The 22,610-nt window shown below is 51.1% G+C and overlaps 1 long non-coding RNA gene across 1 annotated transcript; it reads left to right on the top strand.

Moving 5' to 3' along the window:
• The first annotated feature begins 621 nt into the window (after nt 1–621).
• On the top strand, nt 622–15,491 carry LOC105371197 (uncharacterized). Its single transcript, XR_942149.3, has 4 exons — nt 622–2,016; nt 4,869–5,088; nt 5,546–6,200; nt 6,932–15,491. It is a non-coding gene; the product is annotated as an uncharacterized LOC105371197 (long non-coding RNA).
• Nucleotides 15,492–22,610: the final 7,119 nt, after the last annotated feature.

Below are 22,610 nucleotides of genomic sequence, written 5' to 3' on the forward strand. Positions count from 1 at the left end.
TAATGTTGCATACAACCTGCCTTTTGTGGCATCATCTTACCCTACTTTGCAGAACAGAGATACCAAGAGTTGGCCTTATGAAACTGGGGCTGTTTTTGCATTGTGATTTCAGAGATGCTGAAAATACTGATTTTCTAATACCCCAAATTACACTAAAAATATAAAAGACTTGGGCTTTTAAGTCTTGAAAACTTTTCACCCTGAGTTTTAAAATCTAAGATGAAAAGCAGATGCCTTCCAGAATCCTACCAGGGGTTACTGCCAGCCAACTGAATGACTTGGAGGAACGACTTATACTGCTGGGCCTGAGGGACAGGCTGATAGGCTGACTGGCTTCAGCAAGGACCTTCCACAGGTGACCCTGGTACCTAATCTGAGGCTTTGTCTACACCGGTTTCATTAGTATGTAGTCTTGGAGTACTTAATGTTTAAAACTAAATGAAAAAAAATGAATCAAGAGAGTTATCACTGTTATCACTGTGTAACCATATATAATATTTTATAATAAGGTCCCCCAGCAAACTATTAAAGTGGTCCAAAGGGATATTTAAATAGAGATTATCAAAGTGTTTCCACTACAGCCCTATTCATGGCATAAATGCAAACACTGTCCATGACCTCACCACACAAACTTCCCTCATGTGTGGAGAGAGACAAAGGGGCCCTCTGGTCCTCCTGTTCTGCGTTAATTATGCTGAGTTCCACACTGGGACCCCAAGGCCTGGGAACCACCGGGTGGGTGTCAGAGAAATGGTGGACGTGGACCCCAAAGCCACTTAGGGCTGTTTGCTGATTGGATGCAGCAGGGGTCAGACCATTCGCCTGTGACGTTTTCTTCTCTTTATAACAGTGGCGGGAGTGTCCCTGTGAGAGGCCAGGTGTGGGCCACGCATCCAGCCCGGGGTCCAATGGGTGTTCCTGGGGTGCTGGGGGATTTGTGACACCCCAAAGAGATAGAGCTAAATTTAGGTGGCTTTGAAAAGGGAAGGCCAGGTTACCAGGGACTGGGTGTTTTCACTTCAGGCAGTGAACTGACGGTTTTAGATACCCAGAAGGGAGCTTCCCACGTGGGATCGAAAGACGCCAAGAGAACTGGCCCGCCTGCAGGTCTTAAGCCCCTCTTGCACTGCCTATGTTGGGAGGGGCATGGCAATGGGAAAGGTGAGGGAATGGGGGTCAGAGTGCAAGGGCGAGGTGAGCCCAGCGGATGACTAGCGTTACTATGGCAACCCTACTGACAATGCTATGAGAGGCTCCCCGCCTCACGCTGGTCTGCGGAAAATCAAGCTTTGGAAATGAGCCTTGAAGGAGGAATGCTGGGAAGATGAGATGTCACAGACAGTGGATCTGGTCAAGTTGTTTCCTCGCAGGCCGGCTTTGAAGACCCGGCAGACCACTGTTCTGGCCAGGGAGGAGAAAGGCAGTGAGCTCATGACACCACGCCTTAAGGCCCATGGGATCATTCTGTGCCCCAGGGAGGCTGTCCCAGCCTCACTAGATTGTAACCCCATCCCTGCTCGCTCTGCGGGACCCAAAATCCCATGGGAAGAGGAGTCTGGAATGCCCTGAAGCTCCACCTCCACCGGGCACCGAAGAAGGTTCAAGGAGGTCCAGAGTACAGGACTCCCAGGGGACTGGCACTGGGTAGTAAGGCAGCCCACTCTTTCATGCATCCCCCTATATGCCCCCCACCCAGCTTCGGATGCTGCAGTCCCCGCAGCCCCCGCCACCGCAGCAGGCGCTGCCATTTTTGAGGAAGCCACAAACTGACTTCCAGGAGCCCAACTAGATTCGGTTTAGAAAATGCGCATGTGCGAGGCACGAGGCGATTCTCGCGTCACAGTGACCCCCATCATCGCCCAGGGGATGGATGGGTCCCTGATGCTTGGAGAAGCAGGAGCCCTCCGTGGCAGTGCCTAGGCGTTAAGGCTCCAGCCTAACCTCTCCCGGGGGTCGACAGGATGGTTTTTGGACGCCGGGAGTCGCGGAGGGCCGACCGGGATGAAGAAACCTCAGGTAGAGGGGTCCCGGGGAAGCAGCGCGCCATCCAAGCCTCAGGCCTGCCCCAGATGGTGTGTGGGAGAGTCTCACCACAAGTCGTGCCGCCTGTGATCTCGAGGACAGGCCTGACTGTGGGCCTGTGGGCTGCTCTCTTACCCGAGGGTCATTCTTGCCGAGAGCAGAACCCGGCAGCCTCTGGGGCTGCCTGGAGGTGGGTGTTTCTGTGCCACTGCTGTATGTCTCTGTGTGTGTATGTCTCTCTTTCTCTCCTGTTTCTCTGTCTCTTTCTTTGTGTGTGTTCGTGTGCGTGTTTGGGACTAATGTGCCCTGTGCGCTGGAGGGTGGTTTCTTGTATGTCAGCCTGTCTTTGGTGAGCCTCTTTCTGGGTCTCTGCCTGGGTCGTGTGACCGGTTGTCAGTCGTTTTCCTAGCGATGCCACTTTGGGTTTCTGAAGGCCTCAGCGACGTTGGGAGCTGCGTCGGACACGCAGGGGTTGAAATCTTCTTCCCATCCTGAGCGGCCTCTTTTCTAGGATCAGACAACCACATCACACCCAACGACCAAAGCCTCCCAGGAGCTCATTGTCCTTCTGAAGGAGGGGTGCAGACCGACATCAAAGAAGTTGGTTCTAAGTCCTCATGCTTTCTCCTGTCATTAAGAAATGTAGCCCTGGCAGGGCGCGGTGGCTCACGCCTGTAATCCGAGCTACTCAGGAGGCTGAGGCAGGAGAATCGCTTGAACCCCGGAAGATGAAGTTGCAGTGAGCTGAGATCGCGCCATTACACTCCAGCCTGGGGGACAAGAGCGAGACTTATTTTCAAAGAAAAAAAAAGAAGAAGAAGAAAAATGAAATGTGGCCCCACCACGACACAGGCTTGGAGAAGCCAGGAACAGGATGTGGCAAGGGCCTCTTTCACTCAAACACTGGCCTTTCTGGCAAGTCTCCCAGTTGACATTCCTTCCTGGATGCCCATGGCTGTAGCATTGTGCTGTATCCCATCTGGGCTCTGGCATCTGCTCTCTCCTCCCTCTTGCTCTATCTGCCATGTTTCTGAGGGACCTAGAGTCTTCTTGGTCTGGCATAATGTCTTCAACAAAGAACACTTTGGAGTCCATCAGAAGAAACTTCGTGGAGATCTGTTTCATGGTTGTTTCCCTCTCCAAACCTATTTCTGGTTGATTGGGCAGGTGTGACGATCCTGGAGCTCTGGGCTTCCATACCTGTCTTGGATAGGGAAGCTCCCTTGGTCTCCATGTCCCACCTGATGGCTGCGTGGTTTGTCTAGATCTAGGATGAGCAGTAGGCAACTGTGGCTGGCCTTTGTCTTCTAGGAAAGGCTGTGTTGCATTTCATCTGCACTTACTGTCTCATTCTTGAGGGACATCCAGTTCCTCTGCTCCTGGGTGGGACTGGGAGGCAAAGGGACCCGGCTTGGGCTGGGTGCAGGGGAGGTTGCCTTGTGTTGGGGAGTCAAACGGACTGGGCTTGGGCTGGGTGCAGGGGAGGTTGCATCAGGGATACCTAGCTGGTAGAGGAGTGGGGGTGGGGTGTACTTTCCATTAACCTCTTATCTCCTCAGGCAGGCATCCCCAAATGTGGCTTGGACTGCAGCACAGGCCCTTTCCTAGTTCCCAGGTGTGCTTTGCTTTTCTTTGGCTTTCTTGGGCAGGTCACCTGTGCCCCCGGGGCACATGCCTGGACATAATTGTTGGTCTCTTCATTGCCCCATATGGCTTCGGAGACACTCACTCCATCTGCTCTTAGGGGATGCCAGTGCCACATGTGGTCAGATTTGCTCCATGTCAGGCTCGCCCTTGTCCCTGTTTGCATGTGTCCCAGAAAGCAGTGTCAGGATGCAGGAGCCCCTGAGCTTTGGAGACCTTGGCAGGCCACTGCTCCACCCAAGGAGGAGGGAGGCAGTGGGCTCATGGGTCAGTGAATTTTCAGCTGACACCACACCTTGAGGCCCATGATATCTTTCTGTGCCTCAGCCATGCCCTCCCTGCCTCACCAGATTGTGAGCCCATCCCTGTTCACCTGGTGGGATCCAAAATAGGATCCGAAGAGGAGTCTCTGCTAATGTCCTGAAGCTCCTCCTCCACCGGGCACCGAAGCGGAAGATGGCTCATGGAGGCCTTGGGGACAGGAATCCTGGGGCCTGGTCCTGGCTCGTGTGCAGCCCCCCCACTCATGCTTCCCCCTACCCGTCCCCAGCTTCTGTCACCACCACCGCAGCTGAAGCCGCTGCCATGCCGCGCCATCGCCATTTTTTTTTTTTTTTTTTTTTTTTTTTTTTTGCGACAGAGTCTCCCTCTGTCGCCCAGGCTGGACTCGAGTGGCATGATCTCCACTCACTGCCACCTCCACCTCCCGGGTCCCAGCGATTCTTTTGCCTCAGCCTCCTGAGTAGCTGGGATTACAGGCGTGTGTTACCACGCCTGGCTAATTTTTGTATTTTTAGTAGAGATGGGGTTTCACCATGTTGGTCAGGCAGGTCTCGAACTCCTGACCTCAGGTGATCCGCCTGCCTCGGCCCCCCAGAGTGCTGGGATTACAGGCGTGAGCCACCGCCCCCGGATCGTCGCCATCTTTTTTTTTTTTTTTTTTTTTTTTTGATATGGAGTCTCGCTCTGTCGCCCAGCCTGGAGTGCAGTGGCGCGATCTCGGCTCACTGCAACCTCCACCTCTCTGGTGCAAGCGATTCTCTTGCCCCAGTCTCCAGAGTAGCTGGGATTACAGGCGCGTGCCACTACGCCCGGCAAATTTTTTGTAGTTTTAGTAGAATCGGGGTTTCACCTTGTTAGCCAGGGTGGTGGAGCCCGGCCCCGTCGCCATTCCTTAAAGGGGCTGCAACCTGACTTAACAGGAGCGGAGCGCAAGTCGGCCTAGCCAATGCGCATGCGCGGTGCACGAGCTGATTTCTCAAGGCACAGTGACTCCCACCGTCGCTCGAGTGATGGGTCCATGAGGCTGGGCGAAGCAGGAGCCCACTGTGGCAGTGCGTCGGTATCGAGGCTCCAGCCTGACCTCTCCCAGGGGTCAACAGGATGGTCTCCGGACGCCAGGAGTCGCGGAGGGCCGACCAGGTGAGGAAACCTCAGGCAGAGGAGTCATGGGGAAGCAGCGCACCATCCCAGCTTCAGGCCTTCCCGGACGGTGTCCAGTGAGTCTCCTCACAAGTCGTGCCCCCTGTGATCTCAAGGACAGGCCCGACTGTGGACCCGTGGGCTACTCTCTTACCTGAGAGACGTCCTCACGGAGAGCAGAACCTAGCAGCCTCAGGGGCTGCCTGGGGGTGACTGTTTCCGTGCCACTGCTTTATGTCTGTGTGTGTTTGTGTGTCTCCCTTTCTCTCCTTGTCTCTCTGTCTCGGTCTCTCTTTCTCTGTGTGTGCCCGTGTGCATGTGTGTTTGGGACGAATGTGCCCTGTGTGCTGGAGGGTGGTTTCTTGCATGTCGGCCTGTGTTTGGTGAGCCTCTTTCTGGTTCTCTGCCTGGGTGGTGTGGCCGGTTGTCAGTAGTTTTCCTGGCGGTTCCACTTTAGGTTTGTGAAGGCCGGTTCGACCTGGGGAGCTGCGTTGGTCCCACAGGGATTGAAACCTCCCCATCCTGAGCGTCCTACTTTCGAGGATCAAGACAACCACACCACACCCAAGGACCAAAGCCTCCCAGGAGCTTATTGTCCTGCAGGAGTGCGTGCAGACCAACATCAAAGAAGATGGTTCTAACTCCTCCCACCTCCCACCTTCTCCTCTCATTAAGAAATGTAGCCCCACCGCGACAGTCTTGGAGAAGAAGCCGGGAACGGGACGCGGCAAGGATCTCTGTGACTTAAATCTGGCCTTTCTGGCCCAGTCTCCCATTTGGCACTTCTTCCTGGATGCGCATGGTAGTGGCATTGTGCTGTATCCTGCCTGGGCTGTGGCCTCTGCTCTGTACTCCCTCTTGCTCTATCTGCCATAGGAGCCTAGAGGCTTGGTCTGGCTTAAAGTCTTCAACAAAGAACACTTTGGAGTCCGTGAGGGAGAAATTTCGTGGAGATCCGTTTCACAGTTGTTTCCCTCTCCAAACCTATTTCTGGTCGATTAGGCAGGTGCCATGATCCTCTGGGCTTCCATACCTGTCTTGGACAGGGAAGCTCCCTTGGTCTCCATGTCCCACCTGATGGCTGCGTGGTTTGTTTCAGTCTAGGATGAGCGGTGGGTGACTGTGGCTGGCCTTTGCCTTCTAGGAAAGGCGATGTTGCATTTTATCTGCACTTCCTATCTCATTCTTGAGGGACATCCGATTCCTTTGCTTCTGGGTGGGCCTGCTTTCCAGGCTGTTCTCCTGCTGTTCCTCCCAGCTTAGCTTGGTTTGGAAGCTAAGCTCCCCTCTGTACTGTGAAACTGCACTGGATGCATGGAGGGAAGCAGCGGAAGAGGACTGGGAATGCTGGGAGCATAGGCGCCTGGCCTGTTGGTCACAGAGTTGGGAGAGTACCTTCTCAGCATGAACCAGGACTGGGGACCATAAGGATCCCTGGAGGGAGGGGCATCGCTGTGTGCTTCTTACTGTATGCAGAGTAGTAGTCTCTCAACACCTTTTGGCAAGCAGCCAGACTACAATCCCCAACGGGGATTGGAAGTTGTGCTGTGAGGGTGGGGCAGCGCTGTGCGCTCTTCACCTGGCATGCTGGGAGAAGTAGTCTCTACAATCCCACCGGTCCCAGCATGCACCGGGGTTGGCATGCACCGGGGTTGGGGTGTCGTTGGGCGTCTTGTGGGTAGCAACGGTCCCAGAATGCACGTGAGTTGGCATGCACCGGGGTTGGGGGGGTCGTTGGGGTCGTGCGGGTACCTTGAGGGAGGGGCAGCGCTTTGCTCCTCTTGCCAGGCATGCTAAAAGTAGTAATCTTTTTTTTTTTTTTTTTTTTTTTTTTTTGAGACAGAGTCTCGCTGTGTCACCCAGGCCGGAGTGCAGTGGTGCGATGCACCATCTCGGCTCTCGGCACGCTGCAACCTTCGCAACCTCTGCCTCCCGGGTTCAGTCGATTCTCTTGACTCAGCCTCCTGCGATTGGACTACAGGCATGCACCACCATACCCGGCTAATTTTAGTAGAGACGGGGGTTTCACCATGTTGGGCAGGCTTGTCTCGAACGCCTGACCTCGTGACTCCTGACCTGGTGATCCGCCTGCCTCGGCCTCACGAAGTGTTGGGATTACAGGCGTGAGCCACTGTGCCAGGCCAAGAGTAGTAATCTTTTAACCGCTATTGGCTTTTGGTAGCCTGCTTTCCAGACTACAATCCCAGCATGCCCTGGGATTTGGGGAGGTGCCGTTACCTTGCGGGTGGGACAGCAGTGGTGCGCCCCTCCCCAGGCATGCAGGTAGGTAGTAGTAGTCTCTTACCGCTTTCAGCCTTTGGTCGCAGGGATGCCAGACTGAAATCCCAGCATGCACCGGGATTGGGGGTGGTGCGGGTATTTTGAGGGAAGCACAGAGCTTTGTCCTCCTTGCGAGGCATGCAGGGAATAGTAGTCTCTTAACCGCTTTTGCCCGTTGGTCTGAGGGAAGCTGGACCACATTCCCAGCATGCCTGGACAGTGAGCATTTCTGGAGGGAGGGTCAGTGCAGTGTGCTCCTCGCAGGGCGTGCAGGGAGTAGTAGTTTCTTAACCGCTTCTGGCCGTGGGTCTCAGGGCCGCTGACTGTAGTCCCAGCATAAGCCAGGGTGGTGTGCTGCCTGGGAGGGATGGGTAAGAAGGCAGCGTGTACCTTTCTGCTTCCAAAGCAATGCCGGTCACTGATTCTGTGCCACCCCTGGCTAAGGGGAGTAAGTCCGGAGAGGGACTTGAGGTACAATTAGCAAGATTTGATGCTACGAAGTGCACTTCACCTCTGCCCAATCATCCTCACCTCTCCTTTCACTGCTCAGCTCAGTTTCCTCTCCCACCCGCACTCCCGGGGTCTTTCCTGGTCATCGCGCCTCACCAAGCCCAGGGAGCTGCCTGCTTTCCGAAGCTGATGTGGAACTGAGACACTGTCCATTGTGCTGCCGCCCAGCCAGAGCCTCAGTTCAGCTGCTTTTGGGAGAATTCGCAGTTTGGCCCTCCCACAGACAAGTTTAGAGCTTGGCAGGAATAACATGGGCTGTGGCTTCCTGGAAAGGTCACCCTCACCGGGTGCCTTTTTCATGGATGTGAATGTTGAGTCATGAGGGAGGGTAACTGTTGGTTTACCCAGGCGATGCTAAGAGCAGAGGAGAAAACCCCAATTCCCAGGCATGTGTCTTGAGCCAGGGACAGGCTGGCCAGACCCTGATCCCCTGGGGCCCCAGAGAGCAGCCTACGGCCCTGGGTTCTGTGGAACTCCCTGCATGCTGATTGCCGTAGCCTCAGGGACACGCTAGCCAGATGAGGTTGGTGATGACCCATGGGCTTCTGGAACTGGGCTGCTGGTCCTGGGAGGGCCAGCCCATCTCCCTTGGAGAGGGCCTTTGTGTTGAGAGATGCTCACAGAGGCCTGGGTGTCAGGGACACTCACTCCAGGCAAAGGGCCCTCTTGGGGAACCCCACGTATTTGGCTGAAAGGAAGCAGACTTGGTCAGCGTTTCCACCTAGCCCATCTGGCCCTTACAAGGCTGGGCCTCATGAACCTAGGTCCCTGGAGTCCTTGAGGACCTTGTGTGGCCCACTTGTTCTGACACTGAGGATACCCCTGCAGGCTGCTAATTTTAGAGCAAGGGATGTGTGCAATCTGGGCATGGGTGCTGTCAAAGCACATCAGGGTGCTCCTGGGATGGCTCCTCAGGGTTCAGGCTGGCTCAGGGCTCCCTGCCTCACACCCTCACCCCAGGGCCTGCTTGGTCTGGGCTTGGACCCTAGTCCAGAACTCAGCTGGGAGAAACTGCAACTGTCACCTGGCCTCCTTGCCACCTAATATAATGGCCTGTCTCCATAGTGGGTAAGACGCCCCTGGGCACTGGGTCCCTCAGCAATCCAGCACCATCCACTCAATGCCATGAGTTCCCATGCTCAGCTGAACTCCGTCTGGCTCCAGGCCACGGGCCCACTTGTGCCCTTTCCCTGAATCCTCTCTGGGATGCCTGGATCCCTCTCCAAGGCACCATGGAGGCCTTGAAGGTGCCTCAGCACCACGTCATCCTCCCGACCCCAGGCCCAGGACAGCATGTCCTGAAGGAGCTCCACCAAGCTGAACTAGGACAGCTTTAGGAGGCGTTCTGGGGATGGAGGTGGGCGTCATGCTGGGAGAGGGGTCCTCTGGGAGGGATCAGTGCCTGCACTCTATTTCCTTCCTAGGCACCTCCCTTTGGGCAGTGCTGGTCGTGTTTGGTCACCCATGAGATCCAGGTGTGCACAGGAGGCCATGGTGGGTGGGAGATCTCTGTAGGGAAGTACTCGCCACACTCCTGCCCTTCATCTGTGCCATGTCAGGGATGGGTTTGGTGTCTGGGAGGAATCACGGTGCCCTGCCAAGCCCACCAGGCCTGACCCTCCATCCAGGCCAGAGCAGAGGGTCATATGGACAGTGTGAATGTGTCCCTTAGGACAGTTGGGGTCTTCCTATGTGTTCCCCTGGAGCTCCCTCAGGCACATAGGTTGTGTGCACCTTTACTGGCTGTGTATGCCCTGGCTGTGAGCATGCACTTGTTCTTTAGAAGGCAGACATCCCAGAGCCTCAGAATGAGCCCAAAGTGGATATGTGCGGACAGCAGGCATGGGAGGACCTGGCCCTTCAAGATTAGAGGCCAGTGGTCTACTAGGAGCTCCGTCTGTAGTGCCAGGGGCTCCCTCTGCATGGGATGTGACCCCCTCCTCTATGAGGCTGGGTTAGACAAGGTCCTGTAGTTCCTCATGGGGCTGGACTCATCTCAGTGGCATGTGGCTCCTGGAAGAAGGGGCTTCCCAAGGGCTTTGGGCTTTCCTGGGCTCTCCCAAAAGGAGTCCTGGCCCAATCTGCCCATGATGATGGCCCTGAGCACTGGCCTCTTCCATGGGACACCCCCTCTCAGGGGCACTGTTGGTTTGTGTGCCCTGCAGGGACCTGCCTTTGCCTCCTGCTCGAAGGAAGGGACCTGGGTCCTTCTGAGGGAGCCAGACCTCTGGCCCAGAAAGCCAGACATTGTGTGGAAGGAGCGTTCCTGGCCCAGGGTCTTCCTGTGTATCCTTGCCCCATCGATCAAGTGCTGTGGGAGCTGTTTTAAGGTGAAAACCTAGATGCACAGCACTTCCTTGTCCTCATGAAAGGAGCAGAGGTCTTCACAGGCCTCTGGGCTGCCCCGAGAACCTCTCTATTCCAGGCCCCTCTGCAGACCCCTCCAGACGCCAGAACTCCAGGCAGTGGCCTGAGCTGTCACTCCTTGCTCTGAGACCCCTACCTCTGCCATGAGACCTCTTCATATTCCCCCAGATGCCCCGATCCCTCTGGATTCCCCACCTCCCCTGGAACCTCCCAGAACATGAAATGTTTCTCAAAATGTGGCTCATATCCAGGTTCATTTTCACTGAGGACATCTTGCCCTGCTCCTTCATTGTCTATAGGGCAGGGCCAAGAGCAGGAACCAGCCTCAGAACAGACAGGAGACTCACTGCTGCACACAGCACCATGACAAAGTCAGTGCCTTTGTAGGAAAGGAGGGTTTTTCTCTGCAGATAGTTGCTTCTCTTGCTTGTTTCTTAAGTCACAGAATGTCACCAGAGCCCAGCTCACTTGTGGTGTCCATGTCACTGTCTGTGCCCAGGATGTGCTACTGACCCCCTAACTGCCAGGCTCGATGTTCCCTCCAGCTGGTTAACTGGGCTCCTGACATGGTGTGACATGTCTGTGCGCTGGCTGGGTGTGGAAGGGCCTGACCTGGTGTATTGCTGGATTCTTGGCCTTCACCTTCTTGGCATCCAGCAGGAGTGACCACGCTGGACCCCATACCTGTGGGGGGATTCCCTTGTATACCTGCTGAGACATCTGTGGACAGAAGAATGCTCTGGTGAGGCAGGTGTCAGGATGACCCCAAGGATGATAAGAATCTAAGGATTCTGGAACCTTCCAGCCTTTGGCCTTGTGGTTCCTCAGGAGAGGTTGAGTCTACCTAGGACCAGGCCTCCCTTCCCATGAATCAAGAGTGAACAAGAGCTCTCACATCAGATTGTCTCCCAGCAAGGTAACCCTTGCAGGGATAGGCAGGAAAGTTGGGGACCAGGCCTGTTGTCTTTTGGGTGAGGACAGTGTGCCACCTGCTGTCTGAGAGGCAGGCAGTACCAAGAAACAGCAAGGGGTGCCTGTCCCCCAACTCTGGAGAGTGGTCACAGGGGACCCTCACTCTCCATTGTGCCTTCTTGCTGCTCTTAGATTTATTTCAGTGGTTAAGCCTTTGTAGCCATTTATCTTTGCATCCAATAGCCTGATGTTTTTGCCATAAATGAGAAATGATGGAGTTAGCTGAGCTGCCAGGCTTCCGGGAGTGGTTCTTGGATGCTGGATCACGTCATCACTGAGGACTTCTTGCCCTGCTCCTTCATTTCCAATATGGCAGGGCCATGAGGAGGAACCAGCCTCATCACAGACATGAAACTCACTGCCGCACACAGCAACATAACACAGTCAGTGCTTCTGAAGGAGGCTTTTTCTCTGGAGAAGTTTGCTTCTCTTGTTTGCCTGGTCAGTCATTAGGGGCCTTGATGGGGCTGAACTGGAAGGAGCCAGAAAAGGGCAGATCTTGTGACTGAGACCCTCTGACTGAGTAGGTACCGGTGACCCAACCTCTGGAACACAGGACACACTATTCTCAGGCCACAGATGCCCTAATCAGATCTCAGCCTCCAGGTGGGGTCCTGGTGCCCAGTGGGCAGTGACCCCCAAGCCGCTACCCTGAATCTTTGTGGCGGGTTTGGTAAAACAACTGCAGGGACAAGGCTTGGGTTGAGATTCAGCAGGAATTATGGCCTCTCCCATTGAGGGCATGTGGCTCCCTCTCACCACCACCCAGGCCCACAGGCCACACCATCTGTTTCACTGACCAGCCACCAAGTTGCCCATTGATGGGTGAGCCTCCCATGTAGCAGGTACAGGCTGTTACCTTTGTCTTCAGGGCACTGACAGGGGCAGCTCTGTCACTGTAAGGCAGTGAAGAGAGCTGAAGATCTGCACCAGGCCAGGGGCCATCCCCCTCCCTGAGCAGGCCCCAGGAAAGGACTAGCCCCATCCACATCCACCCCAGGTCTCAGCCTCCCTGCTGGCTGATACCCAGGAGAGGCTGGGAAATGGGAACAGAGGAAGCACAGGGCTGGGCAGGTGCTGCTTGGGATTCATGGGGGTTTGGGTTACCCAATGGGGTTGCCCCTCCTGAATTGGAGTTAGCGTCCTCTTTGGGAACAAAGAAACTCTAGTCTTGAGGTGGGCCAGTGCTGCCCAGGTTTGTGTGTCTGGACCTTGAGAGAAGACCCCAGGAAGTGACCACATCCTCAGGTTGTGGTGCAGGGAACCTGGCCTGAGAACTGCCCAGTGTGTTAAGGCCCCTGGAGCCTGTCTGCCCGATGGCCCCACAGCCATCGCAGGGTCTGACTATCTAACCTGCCTCTCCCTGTACACTGGCTACCCACCCTTCCTGTTACTTTACTTCTCTAGCCTGTCTGCCTGGAAACCATGCCATGTCTTGGTTCCTGTCTCTTTAGGCACCCCTGTTCTTCCTTTATCCTTGTTTTGTCAGAACGTCTGAGCAAGAACCCCCGAGATCCATCCACACACCTTCCTTGTCCACTTTTTAACTGGGCTGCTCAGCACTGCTGGTGGACACCAGGGGCAATGAGGGTGACTGAGGGTTTCACAGGCAACCGGAATGGCCCTGAACCCAGTCCCCAGCCTCAGATGGTATTTAGGGTCTTCAGCCAACAGCTTCCTCCCTCCTGTTGCAGCAGCCCTGACACGGGGCACCTGGCTGTCCTCCTCCCACTGTTCTTTTCTGACTCAGTCTCCCCAGTCTTCCCTCTGGCCATGGTGCTGACCAAGCCAGCAGGGAGCTGGGTCTCTAGAGGGTGTTCCAGAGCTTTGGGACTGACTAAAGCTTCTCTGCTGAGGGGTCCCAGGTAAGTCCCTGCTCTTGGCTTCACCAAATCTCCTGCCCTTCCCAGCTCCATCCACTCTCCACAGGCTGGCTCCATCCAGATGCATCCCAAAGTCATCAGTTCCATTGTGTCACCACTACCTCAGCTCCTCCAATGACCCCTACAGGGACAGACTTTATACTGGGCCCCTCCCACCAGACCTCAGATCCCCTCTTACCATGAAACCCTTGGTTAGATCACCTTGGCTGCAAGCTCTGCTGCCTCCTTGCCTTTCCCATGAGATGCCCAAGCCAGGGCCCTGACCATCTTCTCCTCCCAGGGCCACAGCTTTGGCTGCCCCTGTACCCCTCCCTGTGGGATGGCAGGGCTGGGCTCCTTTAGCTCTCAGAGACCTGCTGGACAACTACCCACAGACCATTCCAAGCACCCCTTTGTCCCATGGCTAGACCCTGCAGATCTCCAGGGCAGGCTCCAAGGGAGCAGGCTGGCCCCTCAGGCTGGCCCCCTCCTCTCTTGTTGACTTGGAGACTGGACTGCGCTGCTGTCCCCCTTGGAGAGCCTAGGGGCTTAGACCAGCCATATTTCTGTCTCCACTTGCTCTCTGGGTTCCCACATTGGGATACTCAGCTCTGGCCTAACACTGACCTTGGACTGGATTTGCAGGGCACCTGGGGAGGAGTTCCAATCCTGGGAAGGAGGTGGACTTGAGACATGTCCTTCCTCAGAGAGGCCTTTTTCAAAATAAAACCTATTGCTGAGACGAGATTGCTGGGGGTGGGGGCTCAGGAGACAGAAGACACACTACAGAATCTGGAGATAATTGGTGATTTTCTAGATTAAAAAATCTTCCTGCCTTATGTCCACTGGCACCCTGGCCTGGCATCCCTGCAATGCAGAGGGGTCAATGTGAGGGGGGCCAAGCTGTGGAATGCAGAGGCATGGGGTTGTGTGCAGCCACTCCCTGCCCTGTGTCCCAAGTGGGCCTAGGACCCTCTGACTACAGCACAGAAGGAGTGGTGATCCCCCTGCCCCTTCGAACGAGCAGCCTGCCCTGTGTCCCCTCATACTTGGCAATAATGTCCCCTTGATTCTGGGTAAGAGGGTGTCCACATCCTGCTCCATGTCCATCCTGCAAGAAAAAGATATTACACTGCATTTGAAAACTTCAGAGAACACCCTAAACCAGGGTCCTGCCTGGGTCTCAAAAGCCAGCAAGGTGACCACATTCTGTCACCAGGAACAAAAGCCCAGACCCAGTCCTCACCCCCGACCAGGGTCTCTGGAGTCTCTGCCCCTGTCCAAGGGTGAGTTCCTGCCTGAGGATATGAGAACAGGGGGGCTTGGACAGCAAGGTCTGTCTTCAAATGCGCCAAGATGGGCACATGCTTGCTTCAGGAGGATGAACAATGTCCACCTGCCAAGGGGAAAGGGCCTATGATGGGCTGTTCTGGGCACCTGGAAGCACAGTGGGGTCAAGGGCCAGAGACCTCTATATGATCATGTAGGGAAAAGAAAGAGAGATCAGACTGTTACTGTGTCTATGTAGAAAGGAAAGACATAAGAGACTCCATTTTGAAAAAGACCTGTACTTTAAATAATTGCTTTGCTGAGATGTTAATTTGTAGCTTTGCCCCAGCCACTTTGCCCCAGCCACTTTGACCCAAACTGGAGCTCACAAAAACATGTGTTGTATGAAATCAAGGTTTAAGGGATCTAGGGCTGTGCAGGACTTGCCTTGTTAACAAAATGCTTACAAGCAGTATACTTGGTAAAAGTCATCACCATTCTCTAGTCTCAATAAACCAGGGGCACTGTGGAAAGCCACAGGGACCTCTGCCCTTGAAAGTGGGGTATTGTCCAAGGTTTCTCCCCATGTGATAGTCTGAAATATGGCCTCGTGGGATGAGAAAGACCTGACCGTCCCCCAGCCCGACACCTGTAAAGGGTCTGTGCTAAGGTGGATTAGTAAAAGAGGAAAGCCTCTTGCAGTTGAGATAGAGGAAGGCCACTGTCTCCTGCCTGCCCCTGGGAACTGAATGTCTCAGTATAAAACCCGACTGTACATTTGTTCACTTCTGAGATAGGAGAAAAACCGCCCTATGGTGGGAGGCGAGACATGTTTGCAGCAATGCTGCCTTGTTATTCTTTACTCCACTGAGATATTTGGGTGGAGAGAAACATAAATCTGGCCTACGTGCACATCCAGGCATAGTACCTTCCCTTGAACTTAATTATGACATAGATTCTTTTGCTCACATGTTTTTTGCTGACTTTCTCCTTATTATTACCCTGCTCTCCTACTACATTACTTTTTGCTGAAATAATGAAAATAATAATCAATAAAAACTGAGGGAACTCAGAGACCGGTGCTGGTGCAGGTCCTTGGTATGCTGATCGCCGGTCCCCTGGGCCCACTATTGTTTCTCTATACTTTGTCTCTGTGTCTTATTTTTTTTCTCAGTCTCTTGTCCCACCCAACTAGAAATACCCACAGGTGTGGAGGGGCAGGCCACCCCTTCAGATCAGCCTCCTGGGATAATTCAGGGACACAAAATGCCCAGTTTTCTTAAAAAAAAAAAACAAATCTCATGACAGCTTTGGTCTACTCAAAGCTCACTGTGGCTGGTGAATCAGCTTAAGAAATAAAACCAGTTGAGTGAGAAAATGGTTCAGGGGAAATGATCTGTTGATTCCAAAGCAGCTTCTGTGCTCATGGAGATCATGTCTTAGTTAAAGGGACAACAGATTCCCCAATTTTGGGCTGTCAGTACAGGAAGGGGCTTCATTTGCTCAGGTTACCAGAAAGGAGCAAATGAGCTCTAGTATGTGGTCCTTGAGAACACCCAGAGAGACTGTTCCTTCAGGGACTACTCAGACTGGTCCCCACTCCCAGACTGGGGACCTCACATGTCTGGTGGGTCCCACAGTGACCACAGCTGAAGACTGAGTTGATGAGACCCCTTCTTGCCCAGACCCATGTTAGGGGACAGATTTTTACTGAGGCCAGTGTTCCACCACTACCCATAAAGGCTCCATCCCATGGCTCTTCCAGTGACAGGCTCTGCCCCATTGGGGTCCAAAATCCTGGGCAGATTTTGTACCTAGGGCAGGGAGGCTGCAGATAAAACCATACCCCAAAGAGTTAAATATAAAACTAAATTCTTGGGCTTACAGGATAGCGGATAGCAGAGAAAATGGGCTGAAACTGAAATTGTGCCCCTAAGAGTAAGAAACCAAATGACTAACAGGTATTCTTGAGTTTGCAGCATAGCAGATAAGAAAGGGAACAACTTTCTGAAATGCTGAACTCCCTCCATTTGTGATATCAAGAAAAAACTAACTGAAAACGGTTGGGACCAAGGTGGCTGGAGTCTGCACAGAACAAGCTTGCTAAGATTGTAGCCCAAATTTCAATCAAATGTTTTGTACTAACTTCCCCTGAATTTGACATACAACCCATGATGTAGAATGAAGAGATAACTGCATGCTCAAGGACTTTCCAGACCTCCCTTCCTTCCACCAATCACCAAATCCACTTCCTGAACATTTTCTAGTAAAAAAAAAGGCTTGAGGCCTACACAGAGAGAAAGATACAGACTCCTGTCTACTTGTGAGTTAAATAACAACAGAAATATGTATTTCTGTCATTTGCCCACTTTTTGATGGAGTTATTTTTTTCTGCTAATTTGCTTTACTTCCTCATAGATTCTGGGTACTAGTGCTTTGTCGGATGCATAGTTTGCAAATATTTTCTTCCATTCTATGGGTTTTCTGTTTACTCTGATTTTTTTTTTGCTATGCAGAAGCTTTTAAATAAGGTTTTATTTATTTATCTGCATTTGCTTTCAGGCTCTTAGTCAAGAATTCTTTGTCTAGTCTAATGTTCAGAAGAGCCCCCCACCCCCCACCTCAGTCATCTTCTAGAATGTTTATGATTTCAGGTCTTAGATTTCAGTCCTTGATCTATCTTGAGTTGATTTGAGTATAAGGTGAGAGATAATAATCCAGCTTCATTCTTCTACATGTGGCTAGCTAGTTTCCTGGCACCATTTATTAAAAAGAGTCTTCTTTCTCCAATTCATATTCATGTATGCTTCATCAAATATTAGTTAATTGTAAGTATTTGGCTTATTTCTGGTTTCTTGATTCTGTTTCATTGGCCTTTGTGCCTAGTTTTATACTAGTGCCATGCTGTTTTGGTAACTACAGACTTGTAGTATAATTTGAATTGCAGTGATGTGATGCCTCCAGATTTGTTCTTTTTGCTTAGAATTACTTTGGCTATTCAGGCTCTTTTCTGGCTCGATATGAATTTTAAAATTTTGGTTTCTAATTCTGCGAAAAGTGATATTGGTATTTTTATGGGAATTGCACTGAATCCACAGATTGCTTTGGGCAGAATAGTCACTTTCACAATATTGATTCTTCCAATCCATGAGCATGAGATGTATTTCCATTTGTCTGTCCCACATATGGTTTCTTTCAGCAGTGTTTTGTAGTTCTCCTTGTAGAGATATTTTGCCTCCTTGGTTAAGTATAATCCTAGTTATTTTATGTTACTGCAGCTATTGTAAAAGGGATTGAGTTCTTGATTTGATTCTCAGCTTGGTGTTGGTACAATGTACCAGCAGGGTACATTGATTTTGTAACCCGAGACTTTACCAAAGATATACAAATGACCAATATACATATGAAAAAATGCTCAACACCACTAATCATCAGGGAAATGCAAATTAAAATCACAATGAGATGCCACCTTGCACCTCCTGTAAGAATGGCAATTATCAGAAGTCAAAAAACAACACATGGTGTGGATGTGGTGAAATAGGAACACTTATACACTGCTGGTAGGAATGTAAATTAGTGCAACCTCTATGAAAAACAGTATGAAGAACTAAAAGTAGATTTACCAGCAATCCTTCTACTGGGTATCTACTCAAAGGAGAAGTCATTATATGAAAAGGACACATGCACACATATGTTTATTGCAGCACAATTTACAATTGCAAAGATACAGAACCAACCTAAATGTCCATCAACCAATGAGTGGACAAAGAAAATGTGATATACATACACATGGAATACTACTCAGCCATAGAAAGAAATAAAATGTTTTTGCAGCAACTTGAATGGAGCTGGAGGACATTATTCTAAGTAAAATAACTCAGGAATGGAAAATCAAATACTATATGTTCTCACTTATAATGGGAGCTAAGCTATGAGTATACAAAGGCATATGGTATGATATAATGGGCTTTGGAGACTCAGAAGGGGAGGGTGGGAGGTGGATGAGAAATAAAAAACTACCTATTGGGTACGATGTATACTACTCAGGTGATGGGTGCACTAAAATCTCAGAATTCACCACTATACAATTCATCCATTTAAACAAAAATCACTTGTACCCTAAAGGATATTGAAATAAAAACATTTTAAAACAAAACAAAAATTACAACAAAAAGCCTTTTTTTTCTAAAAAGAAAAACTCAGAGTCTACAGCTCCCAGTGGGAGCGACGCAGAAGACGGGTGATTTCTGCATTTCCAACTGAGGTACTGGGTTCATCTCACTGGGGAGTGCTGGAGAGTGGGTTCAGGACAGTGGGTGCAGCGCACCGTGCGTGAGCCGAAGCAGGGCGGGGCATCGCCTCACCTGGGAAGCATAAGGGGTCAGGGAATTCCGTTTCCTAGTCAAAGAAAGCATTGACAGATGGCACCTGGAAAATCGGGTCACTCCCACACTAATACTGCACTTTTCCAAAGGGGTTAACAAATGGCACACCAGGAGATTATATCCCGCACCTGGCTCGGAGGGCCTTATGCCCACGGAGCCTCACTCATTGCTAGCACAGCAGTCTGAGATCAAACCGCAAGGCGGCACCGAGGCTGGGGGAAGGTCGCCTGCCATTGCCCAGGCTTGCTTAGGTAAACAAAGCAGCCAGGAAGCTCGAATTGGGTGGAGCCCACCACAGCTCAAGGAGTCCTACCTGCCTCTGTAGGCTCCACCTCTGGGGGCAGGGCACAGACAAACAAAAGACAGCAATAACCTCTGCAGACTTAAATGTCCCTGTCTGACAGCTTTGAAGAGAGTAGTGGTTCTCCCAGCACGCAGCTGGAGATCTGAGAACGGGCATACTGCCTCCTTAAGTGGGTCCCTGAACCCCGAGTAGCCTAACTGGGAGGCACTCCCAAGTAGGGGCAGACTGACACCTCACAGGGCCGGGTACTCCTCTGAGACAAAACTTCCAGAGGAATGATCAGGCAGCAGCATTTGCGGTTCACCAATATTGGCTGTGGTGCAGCCACCACTGCTGATACCCAGGCAAACAGGGTCTGGAGTGGACGTCCAGTAAACACCAACAGACCTGCAGCTGAGGGTCCTGTCTGTTAGAAGGAAAACTAACAAACAGAAAGGACATCCACACCAAAACCCCATCTGTACGTTACCATCATCAAAGACCAAAGGTAGATAAAACCACAAAGATGGGGAAAAAACAGAGCAGAAAAACTGGAAACTAAAAATCAGAGCACCTCTCCTCCTCCAAAGGAACACAGCTTCTCACCAGCAATGGAACAAAGCTGGACGGAGAATGATGAGTTGAGAGAAGAAGGCTTCAGAAGATCAAACTACTCTGAGCTAAAGGAGGAAGTTCGAACCCATGGCAAAGAAGTTAAAAACTTTGAAAAAAAATTAGACGAATGTATAACTAGAATAAACAATGCAGAGAAGTCCTTAAAAGACCTGATGGAGTTGAAAACCATGGCATGAGAACTACGTGACAAATGCACAAGCCTCAGTAACCAATGTGATCAACTGGAAGAAAGGGTATCACCGATGGAAGATGAAATGAATGAAATTAAGCGTGAGGAGAAGTTTAGAGAAAAAAAATAAAAAGAAATGAACAAAGCCTCCAAGAAATGTGGGACTATGTGAAAAGACCAAATCGACGTCAGATTGGTGTACCTGAAAGTGACCAGGAGAATGAAACCAAGTTGGAAAACACTCTGCAGGATATTATACAGGAGAACTTCCCCAATCTAGTAAGACAGGCCAACATTCAGATTCAGGAAGTACAGAGAACACCACAAAGATACTCCTTGAGAAGAGCAACTCCAAGACACATAATTGTCACATTCACCAAAGTTGAAATGAAGGAAAAAATGTTAAGGGCAGCCAGAGAGAAAGGTCGGGTTACCCACAAAGGGAAGCACATCAGACTAACAGCTGATCTCTCGGCAGAAACTCTACAAGCCAGAAGAGAGTGGGGGCCAATATTCAACATTCTTAAAGAAAAGAATTTTCAACCCAGAATTTCATATCCAGCCAAACTAAGCTTCATAAGTGAAGGAGAAATAAAATACTTTACAGACAAGCAATTGCTGAGAGATTTTGTCACCACCAGGCCTGCCCTAAAAGAGCTCCCGAAGGAAGCACTAAAAATGGAAAGGAACAACCGCTACCAGCCCCTGCAAAAACATGCCAAATTGTAAAGACCATCAAGGCTAGGAAGAAACCGCATCAACTAATGAGCAAAATAACCAGCTAACATCATAATGACAGGATCAAACTCACACATAACAATAATAACCTTAAATGTAAATGGTATAAATGCTCCAATTAAAAGACACAGACTGGCAAATTGGATAAAGAGTCAAGACCCATCAGTGTGCTGTATTCAGGAAACCCATATCAAGGGCAGAGACACACATAGGCTCAAAATAAAGGGATGGAGGAAGATCTACTAAGCAAATGGAAAACAAGAAAAGGCAAGGGTTGCAATCCTAGTCTCTGATAAAACGGACTTTAAACCAACAAAGATCAAAAGAGACAAAGAAAGCCATTACATAATGATAAAGGGATCAATTCAACAAGAAGAGCTAACTATCCTAAATATATATGCACCCAATACAGGAGCACCCAGATTCATAAAGCAAGTCCTTAATGACCTGCAAAGAGACTTAGACTCCCACACAATAATAATGGGAGACTTTAACACCCCACTGTCAACATTAGACAGATCAATGAGACAGAAAGTTAACAAGGATATCCAGGAATTGAACTCAGCTCTGCACCCAGTGGACCTAATAGACATCTACAGAACTCTCCACCCCAAATCAACAGAATCTACATTTTTTTCAGCACCACACCACACCTGTTCCAAAATTGACCACATAGTTGGAAGTAAAGCACTCCTTATCAAATGTAAAAGAACAGAAATTAGGAGGAGCCAAGATGGCCGAATAGGAACAGCTCCAGTCTACAGCTCCCAGTGTGAGCGACGCAGAAGACGGGTGATTTCTGCATTTCCATCTGAGGTACCTGGTTCATCTCACTAGGGAGTGCCAGACAGCGGGCGCAGGTCAGTGAGTGCATGCACCGTGCACGAGCCAAAGCAGGGCGAGGCATTGCCTCACTCGGGAAGTGCAAGGGGTCAGGGAGTTCCCTTTCCTAGTCAAACAAAGTGGTGACAGACGGCACCTGGAAAATCGGGTCACTCCCACCTGAATACTGCCATTTTCCAACGGGCTTAAAAAACGGCGCACCAGGAGATTATATCCCGCATCTGGCTTGGAGGGTCCTACGCCCACAGAGTCTTGCTGATTGCTAGCACAGCAGTCTGAGATCAAACTGCAAGGCAGCAGCGAGGCTGGGGGAGGGGCACCCGCCATTGCCCGGGCTTGCTTAGGTAAACAAAGCAGCCAGGAAGCTCGAACTCGGTGGAGCCCACCACAGCTCAAGGAGGCCGGCCTGCCTCTGTAGGCTCCACCTCTGGGGGCAGGGCACAGACAAACCAAAAGACAGCAGTAACCTCTGCAGACTTAAATGTCCCTGTCTGACAGCTTTGAAGGGAGAAGTGGTTCTCCCAGCATGCAACTGGACATCTGAGAACGGGCGGACTGCCTCCTCAAGTGGGTCCCTGACCCCTGACCCCCAAGCAGCCTAACTGGGAGGCACCCCCCATCAGGGGCAGACTGACACCTCACATGGCCGGGTACTCCAACAGACCTGCAGCTGAGGGTCCTGTCTGTTAGAAGGAAAACTAACAAACAGAAAGAACATCCACACCAAAAACCCATCTGTACATCACCATCATCAAAGACCAAAAGTAGATAAAACCACAAAGATGGGGAAAAAACAGAGCAGAAAAACTGGATACTCTAAAAAGCAGAGCGCCTCTCCTCCTCCAAAGGTACACAGTTCCTCACCAGCAATGGAACAAAGCTGGACGGAGAATGACTTTGACAAGCTGAGAGAAGGCTTCAGACCATCAAATTACTCCGAGCTATGGGAGGACATTCAAACCAAAGGCAAAGAAGTTGAAAACTTTGAAAAAAATTTAGAAGAATGTATAACTAGAATAACCAATACAGAGAAGTGCTTAAAGGAGCTGATGGAGCTGAAAACCAAGGCTCGAGAACTACGTGAAGAATGCAGAAGCCTCAGGAGCTGATGCGATCAACTGAAAGAAAGGGTATCAGCGATGGAAGATGAAATGAATGAAATGAAGCGAGAAGGGAAGTTTAGAGAAAAAAGAATAAAAAGAAATGAG

This window comes from Homo sapiens, chromosome 16, assembly GCF_000001405.40.
Source record: "Homo sapiens chromosome 16, GRCh38.p14 Primary Assembly".
In the NCBI taxonomy this organism is placed as follows: Eukaryota; Metazoa; Chordata; class Mammalia; order Primates; family Hominidae; genus Homo; species Homo sapiens.